Source organism: Homo sapiens, chromosome 7, assembly GCF_000001405.40.
Source record: "Homo sapiens chromosome 7, GRCh38.p14 Primary Assembly".
In the NCBI taxonomy this organism is placed as follows: Eukaryota; Metazoa; Chordata; class Mammalia; order Primates; family Hominidae; genus Homo; species Homo sapiens.
The window spans coordinates 72,506,780-72,516,337 of NC_000007.14; positions in this window are offsets into that span (position 1 = coordinate 72,506,780).

Consider the following 9,558-nt stretch of genomic DNA (forward strand, 5'->3'; position numbering starts at 1 on the left):
AAAATAAGCATCCCAAAATAGCCAGGAACCCAGCACAAAATGAAAACTATGAAGGGGACACAGCATGGGGGTTCACACCTGTAATCCCAGCACTTTGGGAGGCCAAGGCAGGAAGATCACTTGAGGCCAGGAGTTTGAGTCCAGCCTGGGCAACATAAAAAGACCTCATCTCTACAGTAAAAAAAAATTGCCAGGTGTGATGGCATGTGCCTATAGTCTCAGCTACTCAAAAGGCTGGGGCAGGAGGATCCCTTGAGCACAGGAAGTTGAGGCTGGAGTGAGCTATGATTCTACTTGCAGCGCTGCACTCCAAACTGGGCAATAGGGCAAGACTGTCTCCCAACAAAAACCCATGAGAGACAACTAGCCCTATTAGATAATACTTCAAAGCTTTGATAATTAAAATAGTGTGGTATTGGTACATGAATAGACAGATAGGTCAATGGAATAGAACAGAACATCCAGAAACAGATTCAAGTACATATGAGATTGTATTTTATTTACTCTTTTTTTTTTTTTTTTCAATAGGACTTTGTCACCTAGGCTGGAGTGCACTGGCACAATCTCGGCTCACTGCAACCTCTGCCTCCTGGGTTCAAATGAGAGGCTCATGCCTCAGTCTCCCAATTAGCTGCATGCCACCACGTCTGGCTAATTTTTTTGTATTTTTAGTAGAGACAGGGTTTCACCATGTTGGCCAGGCTGGTCTCAAATTGCTGGCCTCAAGTGATCCACCAGCCTCAGCCTCCCAAAGTGCTAGGATTGCAGGATTGAGCCACCGCATCCGGCCAGTAATTTTAGTGTATGATAAAGGTGACATCTCAAATCACTGGGACAAAAATGAACTTTTAAAATTAATTGTGCTAGAACAACTGGTTAGCTACTTTTAAAAAGATAACATTAGATCCATACTTCACACCATTTACAAAAATAAATTCCCAATGGATCTGGGATTTAGTTTTAACCTGTCTAGCTCCATTTAAAAAGCTTGTTGGCATTTTTCATTGGGATTGTATTGAATTTTTAAATTTGTGAGGGTGTATACATATATATGCATGTTAAGAAAGTGTTCAGTTCAGGTACAGTGGCTCACACCTATAATCCTAGCACTTCAGGTCGAGGCAGGAGGATCACTTGAGCCCAGGAGTTTGAGACCAACTTGGACAACATAGTGAGACTCAGTCTCTGCAAAAAACTTTTTATAATTAGCTGGGCATGGTGGCATACACCTGTTGTCCCAGCTACTTGAAGGGCTGAGGTGGGAGGATCACTTGAGCCCAGGAGGTTGAGGCTGCAATGAGCCATAATTGTATTACTGCACTCCAGCCTGAGCAACAGAGCAAGACCCTGTCTTGAAAAAAAAAAAAAAAAAAAAAAGCATCCATCAGTTTCTATTTTCTTGAGTGTATTTATATTTATTAGGAAAGGCTGTTAAGTGTTATTGAAAGTATTTCCAGCACCTATGGAGACGGTCATATGATATATCCTCTTCTATTTCTTGTGGAATATTTCGTGTGGATTTTAAATACTGAATTTGTATTCAGTTTTTGACTACAAATTTCTGGAATCCGTATTCAAATTTGTATTCCTGGAATAAATCATGCTTGGTCATGATGTATCATTTTCTTAATGCAGTATTGAATTCCATCTGCAAGTATTTTATAGAGTATTTAAATAAATATTCATAAGTGACACAGGTATATAATTTTCTTATTTGTACTGTCTTTAGCATGTTTTGGTGTCAATGTTACACTCGCTTCATAAGATTAATTAGAAAAGTGAAGGGAAAAACAGACAAATGACAAATGTGTTACCTAAATGCGTCTTTCTCTTTCTAGAATTCCTAATAGAAGGATATTGAACTTCCTAGATGGCCTCGTTAGGTGTGAAATGCATCTCATGTTTTTAATTCTCTCATTCCTCGCTTTTCTTGGCAGACTGTTTTAGTTCTATGTGCTTATTACATCTCCTCTAGTTTCTCTGATGATATTAATTAGAATTATATAATTTCTCCTTGCACTCAATTATTTATTTCTTCTGGATTTTCATGTTCTATTTATTCATTTTGATCCTTGTCTTTTACGCTATTGATTTTCTTCAAATATGTAGAGATTCTTAATAGTCATTAACATTTATAAAGAAAGGACTGGGTTGCTTGATCAAGGAAGCTGATCTCACTTCTCCAGGCATGTGTTGCAACAATCTATAAGTAAAAAGAAGGCCTTGAGCAAGGAAATGATATGGTTCCACTTACTTCCTAAAAAGTTCACTGGGACTGCTCTGCAGAAAAGTCCATTTCCAGGGCAAAGATGAAAAATGAAAACCAGGTAGCAATCTGACATACATGTTCTTTTCACGTTTTGTTTTGCTGTTTTGAGACGGACTCCTGCTGTGTCACCCAGGCTGGAGTGCAGTGGCGCGATCTTGGCTCAACTGCAACCTCTGCCTCCTGGGTTCAAGCAATTCTCCTGCCTCAACCTCCCAGGTAGCTGGGATTACAGGCACACACCACCACACCTGGTGGTGGGGTTTCACCATGTTGGCCAGGCTGGTCTCAAACTCCTGACCTCAGGTGATCCGCCCGCATCAGCCTCCCAAAGTGCTGCAATTACATACATGAACCACCGCGCCTGGCCTTATCCAGTCTATCATTGATGGTCATTTGTGTTGACGCCATGTCTTTGCTATTGTGAATACCCAGTAAGGGGATTGCTGGATAATTTCAGATTCTTGAAAAACCCTTTCCAAGTGTTTTGTGAACTGCTCTGCTCTGGACTGGTTTCCCTCCCCACCTGATGCACAGTTGTCAATGTCGGACCTCCCAGAACCATCTTCTGCAGAGTCTCTTCTCTCTCCTGTGGGATCCTCTGTTTCCTGGGTCCCATAGCTTCCTGCTTCTTGATTTTCTCCCCTATTTTGTTGAAGTGCATTCTCTGGTAGCACCTTAAAAGAGGGTGAATGAGCCTGTACTTTAAAAATGTTGCAGCCAGGTGCAGTGGCTCATGCCTGTAATCCCAGCACTTTGGGAGGCCAAGGCAGGAGGGTCATGAGGTCAGGATATCGAGACGATCCTGGCCAACATGGTGAAACCCGTCTCTACTAAAATACAAAAAAAAATTAGCTGGGCGTGGTGGCACATGCTTGTAGTCCCAGCTACTCGGGAGACTGAGGCAGGGGAATTGCTTGAACCCAGGAGGTGGAGGTTGCAGTGACCCGAGATCGTGCCACTGCACTCCAGCCTGGCGACAGAGGGAGACTCCATCTCAAAAAAAAAAAAAAAGAAAAAGAAGAAAAGAAAAGTTGCATGTCTGAAAATATTTTTATTAGCCTCTCACTTTAATTGGCTGCTTATGAAAAGCATGATCACTATTTTACAGTGTTGTGGAAGTTGTGACTCATGCAAAAAGGCTTGACACAGGTGCGGTGGCTCACGCCTGTAATCCCAGCACTTTGGGAGGCTGAGGCAGGCAGATCACTTGAGGCTAGGAGTTCAAGACCAGCCTGGCCAACGTGGTGAAACCCTGTCTCTGCTGAAAATACAAAAAATGAATTGGGTGTGGTGGCAGTCACCTGTAATCCCAGCTACTCGGGAGTCTGAGGCGAGAGAATTGCTTGAGCCCAGGAGGTGGAGATTGCGGTGAGCCAAGATCACACCACTGCACTCCAGCCTGGGCGACAGAGCAAGACTCCATCTAAAGATAAATAAATAAATAAATAAATAAGGCTTGACACAGATTCAAAATATATAACAGGAGTAGATAAAATAATAAATAGTTGCACATATTATATATCTTTAACCCATTTCCCGTCTGCCCCAAGAATACTACATGGAAGTGAACTGCACTTTTTTTTTTCTAAATGGGGAATGGATTAAATTCCAATGAAGCACTCTTTAGAAATTAAAAATAACAAAATTCTGTCATTTGTGGCACCATGGATGAGCTCGGAGGACATTGTGTTAAGTGAAATAAGCCAGGCACAGAAAGACAAATCCTGCATGGTCTCACTCCTATGTGGAAGCTAAAATAGTTGATCTCATAAAGTAAAGAGTATAATAGGGGTTACTAGAGGCTAGAAAGGGTGGGAGGAAGGAGGGATGGCCAGAGGTTGGTTAATGGATATGAAAGTACAGCAAAATAGAAGGAATAAGTGTTCTACAGCCCTATGGGTGACTATCATTATTTCATTTTATTTTATTTTATTTTTGAGACAGGGTCTGGCTCTGTCACCCAGGCTGGAGTACAGTGGCACAATCTCAGCTCACTGCAGCCTCGACCTCCCAGGCTCAAGCGATCCTCCCACCTCAGACTCCCAAGTAGCTGGGACCACAGGAGCACGCCTCCACGCCCAGCTGTTTGTATTTTTTTATAGAGATGGAGTTTCACCATGTTGCCCAGGCTGGCCTCAAACTCCTGAGCTCAGGCAATCTGCCCACCTCAGCCTCCCAAAGTGCTGGGATTACAGGCACAAGTCACATTGCCCAGCCAGGTGACTATAATTAAAACTATTTATTGTATATTTTCAAATAGCTTGAAGAGTGGATTTTGAATGTTCCCAACACCAAGAAATGGTAACGCTTTGAGGTGATGGACATGCTAATTACCGCGATTTGAGCACTATACATTGTATGCATATATTGAAACGTCACCCAGTGCCCCATAAATACACGCAGTTATGTATCAAGTTTTAAAATTTTGTTTAAAGTCCAAGTATGTCAAAATAAATCTTGCTACAAAATTCTGTTGGGAGTTAGGGACTGAATTGTGTTCCCCCAAAATCCATATGTTGAAGCTCTAACTCCCAATGTGACTTTACTTAGAGATAGAGCCTTTAAGGAGGTAATTAAGATTAAATGAGGTTATATAAGAATGAAGCCTAATCTCACAGGGCTGGTGCCCTTATAAAAAGAGGAAGAGGGCCGGGTGCGGTGGCTCACGCCTGTAATCCCAAGCACTTTGGGAGGCTGAGGCGGGCAGATCACGAGGTCAGGAGATCAAGACCAGCCTGGCCAGCATGGTGAAACCCATCTCTACTAAAAATACAAAAAATTAGCCAGGCATGGTGGTGCGTGCCTGTAGTCTCAGCTACTCGGGAGGCTGAGGCAGGAGAGTTGCTTGAACCCAGCAGGCAGAGGTTGCAGCAAGCCGAGATCATGCCACTGTACTCCAGCCTGGGCAACAGAGTGAGACTCCATCTCAAAAAAAATAAAAAAGAGGAAGAGGCCAGGCGTGGTGGCTCATGCCTGTAATCCCAGCACTTTGGGAGGCTGAGATGGGAAGATCGCTGGAGCCCAGAAGTTCCAGACCAGCCTGGGCAACATAGAAAGACCCCAACTCTACAAAAAATAAAAAAAATTAGCTGGGCATGGTGGCACACCCCTGTGGTCCCAGCTGCTCAGGAGGCTGAGGCAGGAGCATCACTTGAGCTCAGGAGTTGGAGGCTGCAGTGAGCTATGATCATGTCACTGCACTCCAGCCTGGGCAACAGGGCAAGACGCTGTCTCAAAAAAAAAAAAAAAAAGGAAGAGACACCAGATCTCTCCCTCTCTCTCTCTCTCTCTCTCTCTCTCTCTCTCTCTCTCCACTCACAGAGGAAGGGCCATATGGAGACACAGTGAGAAAGTCACCTTTGCAAGTCAAGGAAAGAAGCCTTGGGAGAAACTAATCTTGTGGGCCCCCTTGATCTTGGATTTCCAGCCTTCAGAACTTTGAGAAAACAGATGTCTATTGTTTAAGCCATCGGGTCTGTGGTATGTTATTATGGCAGCCCAAGCAAACTAATACAGGAAACATTTTCACTTTTCAAAGGCATTGTTCTATTTTCTTCCAGTAACCACTTTTACTATAGAAAAATCCACAGTCAGTTTTTTTTTTCTCTCTCTCTCTCTGAAAACCTCTAGGATCTTATTTTTACCTTCCCACATTCCAAAATTTCACAGTGAAAGGGTGGCCTTCCCTACCCACCCATCTAAAATGGCCACTCACTTCTTGCCATTTTTTAGCTCATTTTCCTGCTTAATTTTACTTGTTTTTTTGTTGTTGTTTCTTGTTTTGAAATGGAGTCTTGCTCTGTGGCCCAGGCTGGAGTGCAGTGGCACGATCTCAACTCACTGCAACCTCCCTCTCTCGAGTTCAAGTGATTCTCCTGCCTCAACCTCCTGAATAGCTGGGATTACAGGCACCCACCAACACACCCGGCTAATTTTTGTATTTTTAGTAGAGATGGGGTTTCGCCATGTTGGCCAGGCTGGTCTCGAACTCCTGACCTCAAGTGATTTGCCCGCCTTGGCCTTCCAAAGTGCTGGGATTAGAGGCGTGAGCCACCGTGCCCAGCCTAATTTTATCTTGTTGAGTTTTTTCTCCTTGGCTAGTCTGTGTCTTCCATGAAGGTGAGAACTTTGGTCTGCTTTTTAGCTGCTGTATTTCCGCAGCTGAACCAATGCCTGCTACAGAGCCAGGACTCAGTGAGCACCTGTAGCTAGAGAAATAGATGAAGGGTGATGGCGTGGGTCTATTTCCACGTATCTCCAGTTATGGAAAATGTTCTGGAATCGTTTCTTTTATGATATACCCCCTTATTGTTCTCTGTGCTTTATCTCTAGAACTTCCACGGTTTATTTGTTTGTTTGTTTGTTTGTTTGGAGACTGAGTCTCACCCAGGCTGGAGTGCAGTGGCACGATCTCAGCTCACTGTGATCTCCACCTCCCAGGTTCAAGTGATTCTCCTGCCTCAGCCTCCCGAGTAGCTGGGACTACAGGTGTGCGCCACCACACCCGGCTAATTTTTGTATTTTTAGTAGAGACGGGGTTTCACCGTGACAGCCAGGCTGGTCTCAAACTCCCAACCTCAGGTGATCCACCCCCCTCAGCCTCCCAAAGTGCTGGGATTCAAACAGGAGCCACCGCACCAGGCCCTAACTTCCATTGTTTGGATGCTGGCCCTCTTCAAGTCATTCTTGAATTTTCTTATCTTTTCTCTCTTACTTATCATCTCTTTTTGCTCGACGTTATGGGAAATGTCTTCAATTTTATCTTCCAAACATTTTATTCAGTTCTATATTTCTTCTATGAGGCTTTTAATTTATTTCTTCTATCATGCTTTTGATTTTCCGGGAGGTCCTTTCTATTCTATGAGTGCACCTGTTTTTATTTAAGAGCATCCTGTTTTGTTCTTTTTTATGAACGTATTATTCTCTCTTCTTTCTCTGAGATTATTCATGATCGTTCATTTCAAAAAGTTGTATTTTCCCTGAGTTATCTCTGTTTCCTCCCAGGTGGGTTGCTGTTTATTTGCATCATAATTTTTCCTGTTACAGCATTTTCTTACCCATCTAACTTTCCTTGATTTTCTAGTCATGTTTAGAAGTTAAGGGCTAAGAAGCCATCTGAAATCTATTAACCCGGCCTGGCGCAGTGGCTCACCCCTGTAATCCTAGCACTTTGGGAGGCCGAGGCAGGTGGATCACGAGGTCAGGAGTTCAAGACCAGCCTGGCCAAGATGGTGAAACCCCGTCTCTACCAAAAATACAAAAATTAGCCAGGTGCCATGGCAAGCGCCTATAATCCCAGCTACTCGGGAGGCTGAGGCAGGGGAATCGCTTGAACCCAGGGGAAAAAATATATATATATATATATGTGTGTGTGTGTGTGTGTGTGTGTGTATATATGTGTATGTGTGTGTGTATATGTGTGTGTGTGTGTGTGTATATATATATATATATACACACACACACACATAAACCCTTAGACTATGGCCTTGAATGGAAGGTGGTCTGACTGGGTCATTTCACTGGAAATACCCTTGTGGAAAGACCCTTAAGTCTTTTTCCTGGGCTGGTCAGGATCATTGGCAGAAGGTCGTCTGCAATAGTTTAGAAACAGAAGAGGGCTGGGGTGGATCACTGCTCTCAGAACATAAATGCGAGGCCAGGCACGGTGGCTCATGCCTGTAATCCCAGCACTTTGGGAGGCTGAGGCAGGCGGATCACCTGAGGTCAGGAGTTTGAGACCAGCCTAGTCAACATAGCGAAACCCCATCTCTACTAAAAATACAAAAAATTAGCTGGGCATGGTGGTGGGCGCCTGTAATCCCAGCTACTTGGGGTGCTGAAGCAGGAGACCTGCTTAAACCTGGGAGGTGGAGGTTGCGATGAGCCGAGATCACACCACTGCACTCCAGCCTGGGTGACAGAGCAAGACTCTATCTCAAAATAAATTAATTAATTAAAAATAAAAGAACTTAAATGCTTGTTTTCTTTCTTTCTTTCTTTCTTTTTTTTTTTTTAGACAGAGCTTTGCTCTTTACCTCAGCCTGGAGTGTAGTGGCACCATCTCAGCTCACTGCAACCTCCACCTTCTGGTTTCAAGTGATCCTCCTGCCGAGTAGCTGGGATTACAGGTGCCCACCAACATGCCCAGCTAATTTTTGTATTTTTAGTAGAGACGGGGTTTCACCATGTTGGCCAGGCTGGTCTCGAACTCCTGACCTCGTGATCCACCTGCCTCGGCCTCCCAAGGTGCTGGGATTACAGGCGTGAGCCACCGCACCCGGCCTGCTTGTTTTATTTCTATACAGCTCACCTGCCTTCAGATGGGCTAGTGTCCTCCACCCTCCACAACTTACACCCACTTTTCAGGTAATGCACCTCTAGTCTTCTGCAGGGTGGAGGAAGGAAGTTGTGAGATGTGCAGAGTGGGAGTCAGGAACTGAGTGTTCACTGACTTTATAATTTGTTTTAATTGTAATTTTGACATAATTTTAGACTTCATATGGAAGTTGCTAAAGTAAGTAGTGGATATTGACAAATTATAATTGCGATATGGTTTGGCTGTGTCCCCACCCAAATCTCACCTTGAATTGTAGCTCCCATAATTCCCACGTGTTGTAGGAGAAACCCAGTGGGAGATAATTGAATTATGTGGGGGGTGGGAGGTTCCCCCCATACAGTTCTCATGGTAGTGAGTAAGTCTCACAAGATCTGATGGTTTTATAAGGGGTTTCCCCTTCCACTTGGCTCTCATTCTCTCTTGTCTGCCACCATGTGAGACATACCTTTCGCCTTTCATCATGATTGTGAGGCCTCCTCAGCCACGTGGAACTGTGAGTCCATTAAACCTCTTTTTCTTTATAAATTACCCAGGTTCTGGTATGTCTTTATCAGCATCCTGAAAATGGACTAATACAAATTGTATATATTTATGGGGTACAAAATGATACTGTGAGAGTTGAATATGATATGGAATAATTAAATCAAGCTAATCAATGTATCCATCACCTGAAATACTTATCATTTATTCCTCTCGTCTGAGACTTTGAACCCTCTGACCATCCTCACCCTATTCTCCCCACTCCTATCTCTGGTAACCACCATTCTGTTCAATTGTTTTAGATTCCATGTATAAGGGAGAACATATGGTATTTGTCTTTCTGTGCCTGGCTTATTTCACTTAGCATAATGTCCTCCAGGTTCATCCACGTTGTCACAAATAACAAGATCTCCTTCCTTTTCAAGGCTGAATGGTACTCCATTGTGAATATAGATCACATTTTCTTTATTCA